The 14,009-nt window shown below is 40.6% G+C and overlaps 1 protein-coding gene and 2 pseudogenes across 3 annotated transcripts in view, besides 2 other annotated features; all 3 read right to left on the minus strand.

Moving 5' to 3' along the window:
- GNPTAB (N-acetylglucosamine-1-phosphate transferase subunits alpha and beta) overlaps nt 1-14,009 on the minus strand; it is an 85,461-nt gene that overhangs the window by 15,265 nt on the left and 56,187 nt on the right. For all 3 annotated transcript variants that reach the window (NM_024312.5, XM_011538731.3, XM_006719593.4), the window contains exons 8-15: nt 10,233-10,394; nt 9,643-9,822; nt 9,258-9,428; nt 7,274-7,397; nt 5,328-5,531; nt 3,439-4,541; nt 801-1,000; nt 364-583 (exon numbers count right to left, since the gene is read on the minus strand). In NM_024312.5, coding sequence (NP_077288.2) covers nt 364-583; nt 801-1,000; nt 3,439-4,541; nt 5,328-5,531; nt 7,274-7,397; nt 9,258-9,428; nt 9,643-9,822; nt 10,233-10,394 — 2,364 coding nt within the window. The remainder of the gene's footprint in view (nt 1-363; nt 584-800; nt 1,001-3,438; nt 4,542-5,327; nt 5,532-7,273; nt 7,398-9,257; nt 9,429-9,642; nt 9,823-10,232; nt 10,395-14,009) is intronic.
- On the minus strand, nt 4,643-4,746 carry RNU6-101P (RNA, U6 small nuclear 101, pseudogene; annotated as a pseudogene).
- Nucleotides 6,738-6,907: an enhancer, noted in NCBI's record as "experimental_22731 CRE fragment used in MPRA reporter constructs". NCBI's record gives its function as "activates a minimal promoter by MPRAs in K562 erythroleukemia cells, with activity observed for the non-introgressed 12:102161364 or rs11111012 variant allele {active_cell/tissue: K562}" and the evidence as "EXISTENCE:reporter gene assay evidence [ECO:0000049][PMID:34662402]".
- Nucleotide 6,823: a transcriptional cis regulatory region, noted in NCBI's record as "Neanderthal adaptively introgressed variant 12:102161364 (GRCh37/hg19 assembly coordinates) or rs11111012 in the experimental_22731 CRE". NCBI's record gives its function as "modulates activity of the experimental_22731 enhancer by MPRAs in K562 erythroleukemia cells {active_cell/tissue: K562}" and the evidence as "EXISTENCE:reporter gene assay evidence [ECO:0000049][PMID:34662402]".
- On the minus strand, nt 12,350-12,742 carry ST13P22 (ST13, Hsp70 interacting protein pseudogene 22; annotated as a pseudogene).

A 14,009-nucleotide genomic window follows, 5' to 3' on the forward strand; every position in this document is an offset into this window, starting at 1 on the left:
AATTAAAATTTTCTTTTCTTTTTTTTTTTTTTTTGAGACAGAGTCTCACTCTGTTGCCCAGGCTGGAGTGCAGTGGCGCAATCTTGGCTCACTGCAACCTCCACCTCCCAGGGTGAAGCGTTTCTCCTGTCTCAGCCTCCCAAGTAGCTGGAATGACAGGCGCATGCCACCACATCCGGCTAATTTTTTGTATTTTTAGTAGAGACGGGGTTTCACCGTGTTGCCCAGGTTGGTCTCGAACTCCTGAGCTCAGCTGCCTCAGCATCCCAAAGTGCTGGGATTACAGGTGTGAGCCACTGCGCCTGACCAGAATTAAATTCTCATTTAAAACATCAAAAAGTTTAGAATAAGACAATACAACACCTGCAAACTTAACGGCAGTTCGTGAATTCTGGTAGCCAGTGTTCGGATTTCTCTGTCAGACAAGACACCAGATTGATCTGTATCAACTTCATCAAAGACTTGAGATATATTCAGTGGCTGCACTGCACTCATGAGATAATAAAAATAAGAGAAGGCAAACTGCATATCCTCAGAATGGCGCACTTTGTGAAATGACGTCTTGTCAAATTCTTCAGGGAACCTGTCCAAATATAACATATTACAAACTCTGGATATTCAAAGTATGTACCGTATCTAACATTTGCAGAGATGGACTTTTTTCTTTCTCACTTAGATAATACCTTTAACATATTAGTCATCAAATATTAGAGCTATAAATTTAGCATGGTAAATATGCACATTTCAAGTAGCCTTAGTTCTGAACACAAGCAAACAACTCAAACACGAGCAAGACTTACATATCTTGCAGTTCTTGCATAACAATCCGGTCAATCATGTGAGGCATGTGAGCAGGGACTTTCCGCGATGTGAATCCAAACTTGCTATTTAGAATTTTATTTACATATCTGAGGGAATCTGCAAATGTATCTTTTAGTTGCCTCCCAGTATTTTTGCTATCAGTGAAGTATGCCAATTGTGTCTTCAATGACTCTTCTTCCTGAAAAGAGAATTCTACATGTAACTCAGCATTATGTTTAGTGCACAAGTGTACTTTGTTACAAGACATTTTATATAATGTGGTAATAACTAGTCACGAACTCTTCATTAGGAGCAAATGAAATACATGTTAACGGGTCACTTTAAGGATCTAAACTGGACTTAGCAGGACTCAACTGGATTTCAGTGCAAGTATCACCAATGTTGGTTTGAGAACAACAGCTGTACGATGGAGATCTACATAACAACAGTCACATATGGAGGGTATTCTTCAAGGACTGGTCACTGACTGTGAGATGTCAAAGCTAATTCAATGCAACATTTAGAAAATTTATGTACATATACATTTGATAGTACTTTCAATATCAAGCTATTTCTGCAGGTGATATCAAATGTGCAAGTCCTTGAGTTTTAAGCGCAAGGACTAGAAACAAATTTGGTTTCATCTTATAATAGTTTTAATATTATAAAATCAAAACCAGTCAGTGGCAGAACTAAATAGGCAAAGAAAATTGGCAAAGCATTCAAACACTTTACAGAAATATTTTTGCTTCTCAAACTGATAAAAATAAAAATGTAAGGAGACTGATATTAACTGGTGTTGGTTAGACTGCAGTGAAACAAGCACTGTTGTATACTGTTTGTGGAAATATGAAGTGGTGCAACATTTCAGAAAGACATATTTAAAGTTTATACCTGCTAAGCTAGTAATTCTACCTGCAGAACTAAAACTCACTGAAATGTAAGATATATGTACAAGAGAATTCACTGCAACACTATTTGTAATCACAAAACATTGGAAATAACTAACCTGCAGCCATTAAAAAGAATAATGGCACTGGCATGGGTATAAATAAATAAATAAATAATGGCATTTGCCCACATCCTACTACATCAAAAGGCAACTGCAGGGAAATATATGTAAATTTACACTATACATATATTTCTCTATATATAACTATACATACATATAGGTATGTTTGCATAGCTATAGAAAAATACTGGAAGAATACCCATCAAACTATTAACAGCAATTATCTCCGGGAAGGAGACTGAAGAAGGAAGAACTTTCCTTTATTTACTGTATATTTTTGAATTGTTTGCAATTTTTACTACTAGCCTATAATGCTTTTGTAAATTTAAAAAAAAAAAAAAAAAAAAAGGAAAGAGGCCAGAGGCCAGGCACAGTGGCTCACGCCTGTAATCCCAGCACTTTGGGAGGCCGAGGCGGGCGGATCACCTTAAGTCAGGAGTTCGAGACCAGCCTGGCTAACATGGTGAAACCCCGTCTCCACTAAAAATACAAAAAATTGGCCAGGCATGCTGGCACATGCCTGTAATCCCAGCCACTCAGGAGGCTGAGACAGGAGAATCTCTTGAACCTGGGAGGCAAAGACTGCAGTGAGCCGAGATCACGCCATTGCACTCCAGCTTGGGAAAAAGAGCGAAACTCCATCTCAAAAAAAAAAAAAAAAGAAAGGAAAGGAAAGAAAATGGGGGAAACTGAGGAAATAAACATAGTCAAGAACACTGCAGTCCTTCACTAGACAATCTGTAAATGCCTCATGTGCAAGGCACAAGATACTTCCTAAAATGCTGAGGACATAGTTCCTCCTTCACTCTCTTTTCTCCCAGCCTAACACCCACTCGTGGCTGTGTGCCTTCACTATTCAGCCCAGACTGTATGATTTTTTTTTTTGGTCTGTCAACTCCCACCCCTTCGAAGGTCAGTCCACAGGGCACTTCCTTCTGTATGCCTTCCCTAGTACTTCTAGGCAGAGCTAAGGAGTCCTCCCTCTGAACTTCTTGCCCATATCTCAACACAGACACATCTCTTTGCTACAGTTTTCTCCCCACAAATTTGTCTTCTCTACTGGTCCCTGAGTTTCCACATGAGCAGTGGCTATGTTCCCGTCATCTTGCATTCCCCAGTGGTTAGCACCGTGAGAGCACTGAGGAGAGGTACAGATGACACCACAGCACAGTGAAGCCATGGTACAGGGCAACGAGCAGTCCAACTTTGAGGCTTGGCTCACACTGATTTGCTGTTATAATGTTGGGGAAGCGAATGAACTTAATTGAACTTCAGGGTTTTTCATCAGTAAAGCTGGAAAAATACCATATCTGAAATGTCAAGACAAGACAACATGCCACTTCCCACTCTCCTTCCTCCAAGTACGCCCCTGGCTAAATCCCTTACTCATTCACACTTGGGCTGTTTCCTAAACTACAAAATGGGGACAGCAATAATAAATACCTTCATATGACATTTTTTATTATTAGGGTTATTGGGTAAATTAAATGAAACCATGTAAGAAAAGCATTTAGTTCCATGGCCGGCACAGGGAAGTGCTGAATAAATGGTAGCTATAATGATATTATCATGAGATTATTTACTCTTCCTGAGCATGAGAAAGAATGAGGCTGGATGTTACTTACGTCGAGAAGATCTTGGAAATACTTTTTTTTCTCCCATGGCAAAAAGCCCAAGTAACTATCTGTGTAATGCTGCAGCTTTCTTCCAAGTAACACTTCAGTAACGCCTATGTGATTTTCAGCATTTTCCTCCATTCTACTGTTCTCTTTTTCTTTCCCTGTGATTTTCTTTTCTTTTGTCATCTGGCTTTCCAGTGGAACAATCAGAGATGGGGGCTTTTCTTTTGTCACATTTCCGCCTATGGTTTTTTGGGTGTGAGTTTCCACTCTAAATCTTGCTGTGGTCTCCAAGTCCAGGGGTGGATTCTGACCCTGGTCATGACCATTCACTTTTACACTCACTGCAGGAAAAGTCAACCTCTGCAATCTTTCAGACACTCCTAAGCTGTTTGGCAAGATGCTTTTATGAACCTGTTTTTCCTGTGGAGCCACCAAACTGTCATTTGTTTCATCTGTTATTATAGCTTGATTTTTTATTTTAGCATGCTGTGAGTTCATCAGAAATGATCTCAGCAAGGCTGACTTGGACAAATTGTATCCTTTCAAAGTGATGTCTCCATGTTCCAGTTGCAAATCCAAGGTATTGAGACTCAACTGGGCGTCTTTTGGAAGGAGTGAAATATTTACCAGGGGAATTTTCACCTCTTCCTGGGCTCTCCTTGTTGAGTTAACATCATGTCTCTTAAACTTCGGGAAGCGTTTTTCTTTGGGAATATCCTCAAAAAGGATTTCCGCCTCTGGAAGAAGTGTTATGGGACTAACTAAATTTTCGTAACCCTTCTGGGCTGTAGAATTCAGTTTTGGTCCCTCCCTTGTGTCCACCTCCACTGTTATCTGCATTTTGAACTCTTCATCGTTTGTATTTTGAAACGTGAGATTAAAATGTATTGTGGTGGCATTCATTCCACTGTGCATTATGAGGTGGATGGTTTTCCACTTGTTGGCAATAGAAGCATGTCGAATTATTGGATTGTCACTATAGGCACCTTCAACTCCTCTTTTGGCTACTTCTGCAAAGCTGAAATAAGGCAGGCATTCACCTTTTGGAATAATATAGTGAGTCTGGTTTGGGAGAAGGATCACTTTATACAATTCATGAAAATGATCTAGAGGAAAAAACAGAAACATGATTTTTTTTTTAACTGGGCATTTTTCCTCTGTTTTCCTTTAATTCTTTGAGTCTGAGTTTTCACTTTCTTTTAAAAAAAATAATAGGGAATGCATCATGAATTTGCATGTCGTCCTTGTGCAGGGGCCATGCTAATGCCTAAACTGTTCTAATTTTAGTATATGTGCTGCTGAAGTAGGCACTGAGTTTTCACTTTCTAAGAGTGACTTTAATTTCAAAATAATCAGATATCCTAATACAACAGTTACTGGTATAGGGCTTATTTCACTATCTGAGGCAGTCACAATAATTACCATGAAATAGTGATCCTGACTCACTATAGAGATATGGCATGGTTCTTAACAATAAATTACAATAATCAATTTCCATCTTTTTATCCATTTGAAAAAAACTTTCTGCCAAAACAAACTCCATTAATACGCTATCAACAAAATCCAGTGTTTGAACCATCTTTATTTAATGAATTATTGATATCCTTTTTTGTTTCCAAATTAAAACTTCACCACATATTTTCAGCTAAGGTAAATCTGCTTGGTCCAAACAAAACAAAACAAAACAAAACACCAGACTGCAACAATAACAGGAAAAGATCCTCTTCAGTGATTTATGTTGTTCTCTTACTTTCATAACTAGTTTGAATGCAAGGCTGGTAAAGGGATACACAGAGAATCATTATTTTAAATAACAAAAGCCATTCAAAACTCTCTCTACCTGTCAAGGATGTTTTATGCTCCCATTCTTATTTGTTTGGCAGTAAACATACCTTGCCCACAGTCGCCAGCATCAAACCCACAGGACAAGACATTGCATGCTTGGTCACAGAACTTATCAGCGAGCCAGGAATTCGCACATCCCTGATTACAGTAAGAGACACTGTTTATTCCTCCACCAAACTGCCAGGGCTGTCCAACTCCAATACTCCCAGTACCTCCACCTCCTGCAATATAGCGACTCCCTCCACTGTTTCCTGTAGATCGGAGGAAGAAGAGGGATTCTTGCTGTAATTACAATTTTGAAAGACAGTTCTGGACTGGGTGTGGTGGCTGACGCCTGTAATCTCAACACTTTGGGAGGCAGAGGAGGCTGGATCACCTGAGGTCAGGAGTTTGAGACCAGCCTGGCCAACATGGTAAAACCCCATCTCTGCTAAAAACACAAAAATTAGCTGGGCGTGGTGGTGGGCGCCTGTAATCCCAACTACTTGGGAGGCTGAGGCAGGAGAATTGCTTGAACCCGGGAGGCGGAGGTTGCACTGAGCCAAGATTACACCACTGCACTCCAGCCTGGGCAACAAGAGTGAAACTCCGTCTCAAAAAACAAAAAACGAAAAAGACAGTTCCTTATTTCATATTGATGTTTTCAAGGTTGATGTGTAAGTTTTAGTCAGAAAAGGTTCACCTCATTCTTTAGTAGAAGATCTCATATACCTTAAGAAGAAAATAAACGTAAAAGGGAGTCACTTGACAGAAGCGTGATGAACAGGCCCTGGCATTTTGTAGCTGTGCAACCTACAAGTACAGGGCTTACATTTGCTCAAGGGGCACGTGCTGACAGAAATGGAGGAGCACGAAAACAAGAAGAGATTATTCCAAAGACTGTGACTATCAGAACTGCCAAAAACATGTCCAAACGTGGGTAACATGTTTGATACCCCTTGTTATCAAATGCTAATGTTCCAGTAGAGACTGACTTCTCTGGTCTACACAGATCTACTTTGCACATCTGTATTCTCTCTCCTCAGCTAAAGCGCATCTGACATATCTGACTGAAATACAACTTGAAGCTTTGTTTTCTCCAATATTCAAACATTTCCAAATCCATTTCTTCATATGGAAATGGGGATGATAACATTTGTGTACATACTTACTCTCTCTCTCTCTCAGGTAACAAACACAATTCAAGTGAATATAATGAATAATGCTCTATAAATTTAATGCTTTATAAATTGAAAGGTAGTAAGTAAATGTAACAAATTGCTATTATCAACAAGTCAAAATATAACTATGTGAGGGAGAGGGAAGAGCTGCTGAGGAGAGAAAATACTTATTTCTTTTGCAACTCTTTAGTAATTCTGTGACCTATCACAATCTGCTGCTGAAAGCTACCAGCAGTGAGCTCCTATAAGAACCAGTTAGAGTGATTCTTGCTCTTGGATTTATATAAGTGTATTCCAGATTTTCATATTTTAAATAAGAAGACATTTTCAAGTGTATTTTCTCTTGTTCAATGCCCTCAACAATGAATAAACTGGGCCACATGAGGGCACTAATTACCACCTCCAAAGAGTCCATTGATTACTGATTTGTTTGTTTTGAGAGAGGCTGTCACTCTGCCGCCCAGGTTAGAGTACAATGGTGCAATCACAGCTCACAGCAGCCTCTAACTCCTAGGCTCAAATGATCCTCTTGCCTTAGCCTCCCAAGTAGCTAGGACTACAGGTTTGCACCACCACACTTGGCTAATTTTTTTTGATAGAGATGGGGTCTTACTATGTTGCCCAAGCTGGTCTTGAACTCCTGGCCTCAAGCACTCCTCCCAGCTCAGCTTTGCAAAGCACTGGATTATAAGCATGAGCCACCATGCCCAGCATTACTGATTCTTTATTAATACATAAAGAATGTTTGGTTAAGTCTATAGCACATGTTCAATAATGATTAAGAAGAAAATATTCCATAAAAATGAACGAATTACAGTTTAACACATCCTTACCAGAGCAATCCCCACCATCCCAATCGCAGGCTGAATTATTACAAGCCTTGTCACAATAGCCATCCTTAATCCAGGAACCTGGGCAGCCCTCGGCACAGTTTGGCACAGGCCATGTCAAATAAACCTACGATAAAACCAAAGAGAAAATAAAATGACTTCTGGCTTCTGATACATTTTATTCTTGAGTTAAGATTCCCTTTATAAAAAGAAATTAAGTCTCTAGAAAGATTAAAATTTTCAAAGGGCTCAGCGTTCACACTCACAAGTGCTTTAAGTTTGCCTGTACCTACAGTCATTGTTTAGATCCTGCTGCGTTGACCGTTCTTACTGAGCGTATTTACTTTTTTTCCATTACTCAAGGAAAGCAGACAAGGATTCAACTCATGGATTAGTCTCTCATAACATGCTTTGATAATCTACTATGAAATAAAGTAGCACCATGCCAGACTTGACTGCAAGTACCAAAGCATGTCAAAGCTGGTGGGAAGTATGCACAGTCACTGCTTTTCTGTAACTATCAGTAGCTCATTAGTGTATTTGTGCATAATCTTGTCTCAAGGCTGAGAGACAATATCCTCTCTCTTCAAGCTTAAGGCCCTGTGATAAATTAACTGGCATAGCATTCTGAGCTGTGCATTCACCTGCTCTCAGAATTAGTGATGGGGTACATGGTTTTTCAAATTTAAAATCATTGAAAAAAAATACACTCCTCTTTAAAAATCTCTGTGCCTTTGCATATTCTAATTGGAATGTCTTTTTTAACCTAAACTAATTCTTACTTGTTCTTCTCAGTACATGTCAATTCAGATGGGCTTTCTTCCCTATCCTATCTGATTTAAGCCTCCTTTGCTCACACTCCTCAGCACCAAGGCACACCTGTCAGCAGGAAAAGCACCACACAGTCATTGATCTTGTTTGTCCCCTTGTTAAGCCACAAGCTCAACTTTGAGCCCTACAGTCTGATACAGAGGAGACAACTCAATAGGGGAACAGGAGAATGGGCCTGGTTGGGTAGCATAAACAATTACAGACAAAGTAGTTTTGTGTTATTAGCACTTACAGTTGCAGAGTTTTATAACTTCTAAGTTTACGGTGATAAGTCTCTAACTTATCACTGAACCCTTCTAACAACGCTACAAGGGTATTTGTACTTTCCTCACTATGCCAGAAAACACAGAGGTAGAGCCACTGCCCAAGGTCATCCTGAAGAGTTGGCCCCTAAGTCTGTACTCTTAACCACTTCTCCATCCCACCTCTCACAAAGTTAGAGTGCAACAGGCTACCTTAAATGAAATTACATCTATAGCTTTAAGCACTAACTTGAGTTAACTTTCTATTTTGGCCATTTTGCTGATATTCTAACCATGATTGTCTGTTTCACAGTGATTTTGCTTTTTCTGCTATCGTAGTAGAAAATTGAGATGGTTGGGAAAAAGTGTGGGTCCTGGGTGTCTAAGAATGCAGGAAAGCAAATTTCTAACTGTAGTGTTCTTACTTCTTAATTGCTGATTTCTGAGCTTAGCACTCAAAAATGATTATTTGATCTCATATATCTATATATATTTTTTTATTTTTCAAGATCCGGTTCTCACTCTGTCACCCAAGCTGGGGTGCAGTGGCACAATCACAGCTCACTGCAGCCTCAACATTCAGGCTAAAGCAATCTTCCCATCTTGGCCAGTGACCCCCTACTCCCCCCACGGCCCCCCAACACCCAAGCAGCTGGGACTACATGAGTATTCCACCGGGCCCAGATAATTATTTTACTTTTTGTAAAGACAGGGGTCTCACTATGCTTCCCAAGCTGGTCTCAAACCCCTAGGTGGTCAAGTGATCCACCCACCTCCGCCTCCCAAAGTACTGGGATTACAGGTGTGAGCCACCATGTCTGGCCTGATATTTGACTACAGTAGTATGTGCACTCATTTTCTGATTTGCTAAGTGACTTCCACGCTAGACAACCCCCCTCCTCTTAGGCACTCACCTTCTGGCCTTTGGAGTGACTGTAAAAATCATCTGGCCAGACATCCTTCCCAAACATGACATCATCATTTAGGTAAATAAACTTCTGGGACAGCCCTTCGATGCGATGAATGTGACTTTCAATAGCAGGTGAACTAAAGGTAGGCAAGTGGCTCAAATTTCGAAAAACATCCTTTTAACAACAACAAACAAAAAAAGAGAGTGAATGAGAGCTGTTTGGGTTTGGTTTAGTTTTTGAAAGGAAGGAAGGGAAGGCAATGAAGAGCTAGAGAAAGGAAGAAATGGAGGTAGAAGGGTAAAGGGAATGAAATTATGGAAATCCCTGTACCACACTAAAAGAGCAGAATTAGAAATCACAGTCTTGTAATTTTTAGAAAGTCCTGTACCTGGTGTGTTACTATTGTCACTCGAGGATTGTCAAGGTTCAGCCAGGATGGAATCTGCCCGTTGGTGACAATGAAAATATTCCGAACCCATGGTGCATGCCTCTCGATAGATCGCAATGAGTACCTCAGTTCTTCGTTATCTTCAAAACGACTGGCAGAGATGTCTTCATCCTGCTTAGACTGAGAAAAACACTTGGCATATGAAGATGTGAAATACCCCTTAAGTCATACCTCCTCCTCTTTGTCCTTTCCTTCTGCCCGTCTGCTCTCAAGGTGCTCTGGCAGACTTTTAAAGATGGAGTCCTAATTTTAAACATTACAAAAAATGCAAAAGATTCAGTATATATATTTTTAAACCCAAAATTCAAAGAGACAGCATTTCTATAACACACTTTATGAAGAAGGTTCTTGGATCTGATTCTAGGTGACTTCAGTTAATACCAAACCAATGGCAGTGACTGAAAAATTAGAAAAATTCCAATCAACTCACCTCTCTGTAAGTCCCCTTCCCTCTTCTAATATAGTAACTTACACATTTTTAACATCTTAACCTTTGATTTGGGCTGTAAAAGCTTCTGTGCATCCCTTACCTGGCTGATGGCGCTCAGATCCCATAATAAATATGCAGGACTTATGGTCAGTTCTTTTCCATCAATGGTCATGTTCTTCTTAGTTTGCTTATTCAATTCTTGAAAATCCTTGGGGTTATTCAGTTTTAGAAGCGCTACACTGGCCTCTGAATACAACTGCAACTATCAAATAACAAGAGGATTACACATGAAAAGACTGAATCTCAAGGATGAAGCACCTTTAAATTCCCACTCTGCTCTTTAATCTTTCCTTTTTTTTTTTTTTTTGAGACACAGTCTCGCTCTGTCGCCAGGCTGGAGCGCAGTGGCACGATCTCTGCTCACCTCAACCTCCGCCTCCCGGGTTCAAGCGATTCTCCTGCCTCAGCCTCCTGAGTAGCTGGGACTACAGGACTGCATCATCACGCCCGGCAAACTTTTGTACTTTTAGTAGAGACAGGGTTTCACCATGTTGGCCACGCTGGTCTCCAACTCCTGACCTCAGGTGATCCACCTGCCTTGGCCTCCCAAAGTGCTGGGATTACAGGCGTGAGCCACTGCAACTGGCCTGATCTTTAATCTTGAAATGGTAAGACAATATCAAAACACAACAAAAAGACCTACACAGACCAGATGCATTTCCCAAATGAATGTTAAAAAAATAGGCGTCTAAAAACAAGAAGGAATGGTAAAGGCAGTGGCAAACTGGACACCTCAGAGCCATCTGAGAGCTGCAACCACTCAATGGCACCAAGTGCTGCCAGATCTCCTGAGAGGCAAGAATCCCCAACTGTTGTATGAAATCTCCCCAATTTTTCAATGTTGGCTCAAATGATTTTTGACTTCTTTGCAAGTACACCTGCTGGCCAACAGTTCTGTGACTTTTCTTCTAGAATATTACCAATCTGCTTATATTGGGCAAAAAATCTGCAATGTAATTAACCTTGCTGGAATTGGTGACAAGTACATCTGCTAGTGGGGTGTCTGAACAGCTTTTGTGCCACGTGCCTGGGAGGAGCACCTTCGGCAGGACTGCCTGAAGTGCTTCCATGGGAAAACTACCTTTTGGGGCAAAGCTTTTGGGGCAATCATAAATCTAAGCGTGAACATCACAAACATCAAGTTCCACAAACAGGCTTTGCCACCCCTACGAAAGTCCACACCACTCTTTATCTGTTTTCTGTTCTGACTCTGTATCACACAACTTCCTATGAAGAGGCTTTCATCACTCAGGAAAAGGGGAGAGGCCTGAAAACCACAAATGTAGGACAGTAAAATCCTTCTGCTGAACTAGTGCTTCTAAAAGAGCTTACGGTCTTCTTTCTCAATCTATAAAACAAAGCAAACACAAATTTTATTATGAGCTTATTCTGAGCTCTTCTATTTGCTGCATGACTATTCTTAGCTCATTTTCTAAGCAGTTTCCTGAGCGTATGTAGTCCAGAACACCAGAGGTGAGAGTTAGAAATTTCATTTATATCTTTTCCCCTTATGATGTAGGCCATTAACTCTTCTCACAGATTAGGTGCAGGTGCATGTGTGAGCACCTGCAGATGCATGTAACTGTCTTCCTGACTCACCACTTTCACCTCTTTTACTTAGTGAGTGCCTGGCACATATTTAGTACTCACTAAGTTGGTTCTCACTGAGTCACCAACTTGCCTCAGCATATGTGCCGGGTGCTGGGAGGCAGGCCACACAGGGGGATTAGTAGTCTGCCTGGGTCCCTGTCTACCCTCTGGCCTTTCCTGTCCCTTTCCTCCCTCTCACAGCACCCCCAAAGCATTTCTGAGGGCTCCCTGGAGAGAAAAAGTCACTATTCTAGAACAATTTATTTACTTATTTTTATTTCTATTTTTTGAGACGGAGTCTGACTCTGTCGTGCAGGCTGGAGTGCAGTGATGTGATCTCGGCTCACTGCAACCTCCATCTCCCGGGTTCAAGTGATTCTCCTGCCTCAGACTCCCGAGTAGCTGGGATTACAGGCAAGCACCACCATGCCCAGCTAATATTTTTTGTATTTTTAGTAGAGGCAGGATTTCATCACATTGGCCAGGCTGGTCTCCTGACATACAATCTGCCCGCCTCGGCCTCCCAAAGTGCTGGGATTACAGGCGTAAGCCACCAGGCCTGACCTCCATCTCCCATTTCTTGAGGGGAATCAGTGTCTGGTTCAATCACAGCTTCGTTATCAATTTCTAGATCACTTTCCTCACTTGATAGTTCGTCTGTGCTTATGTTTTCCTCCACCTTCTTACTACCTGTTTTTAATTCCTTGATATTTTCTTCTGATTTATAATAGCTTTCTGAGTAGCACATGGTACTTCACCCCCCATGCTCTCCACCTGCTCCCTCAGAAAGCACATTTCCTTGGTATGCAGAATGCTCGGATCCTGCTTATACATTTTCACGAAGTCCCGAAGCTCGTTCACTTTGCGAAGGTCCAGGGTCGGAAGGCAGTGGGCGAAGCTGAGGGGCTGCAGGCCAGTTTCAGGCCCAGGCACTGGCTTGGCGTAACCTCGAAGAAGGGGTGTGTCTAGTTTAATTTCATAACTTGTGTTGGCTCTTTGTTTGATAAGAAGGTATATCACTAAAACTATTCTTTTTAGTGCCTAGGGTTGGTTTCTAATTATATATGCATAAAAGAGCAAGAAGAGGTTTGTCTATAGTAACTATACAATAATTCGGAAAGAGATGAAGATTAATGAGGTTAAGGTAATATTTATATGTATGAGAAAGATTTTCTGCCACTGTAAAAAGGGTGGGGAAGTACCCTCTGACAGCCACTAGGTGGCACCCCAATCCTGGACATCATCATTACTTTTGTCAGAAGAGAGAAGGTAGTGTGGGAAGAGCAGCTGTAGTTTGTGCCTAAGGCTGGAGTTTGTGGCTTGGGCAATTGTGGGCAACTGCCTCCATATATGGCATCTTATTTTAAATTTTAAATTTACATAAATTATAAGTTTCTGCAAAAGGGAACAACTTCTATACCCACTCCCTACAGACCCACAGTGAACAACACGTAGCATGACTAAGAAATAAAGCTTTGTTGTTTTTAGCCATTGAGATTCCAGAATGTTTGTTCTAGCAGCATCATCTAGAACAACATGACTGATACACCTGGTACTTGTAGGAGTATGAGGCAAGGGAAGACAGACAGAGGGAGAACTAAATGGTGGCTGAGGCCAGGGCCTGGGTAGGCTACAACGACTGAGCAACTGGTGGATCAATTTGAGTCAAGGAAAGACAATATAGATGATGGTCAGGAGAAGCAGTGTTGTAGAACCCAAGAAAAAAATGTTAATTCAGAAAAATATGTTAATTCTGGTATATTTCTAAAGACAACAAGCATCAAAATTAAGGGACAAGAAACAAAATTAAGTGGAATGTGTAATTAGTAGGTCAATGGAGACCAATTTCAATGGCATGACAGATATGGAAACCAGATTTCAAGTGCTTGATACTTCACAAACTTCTAGATATAATATGAACATATGTAAGTATATATTGGAAGCAAATCTAACATTTTACATTTTGTACAGTGTATCACATAGGACAGGGATGATAAAACAATCCCAGGAGTATTAAATTCAGTATAATTCAGTATAACTGACCAAGTCACAAGATATAAGAATTGAAAAAGCAGTGTAAATAATCTTCACTTTTAAATTCTATAAATGATTATCAAGGCAAGATTAGAGCATATTAATATAAAATACATAGAGCCACTTTAAGATATTGCTTATTATAAGTGAGAATATTCAACAGTTCGTTCTACTGTTCTCAGCATTGTAGCCT

The sequence above is a fragment of the Homo sapiens genome, chromosome 12 (genome assembly GCF_000001405.40).
Source record: "Homo sapiens chromosome 12, GRCh38.p14 Primary Assembly".
Taxonomy (NCBI): Eukaryota; Metazoa; Chordata; class Mammalia; order Primates; family Hominidae; genus Homo; species Homo sapiens.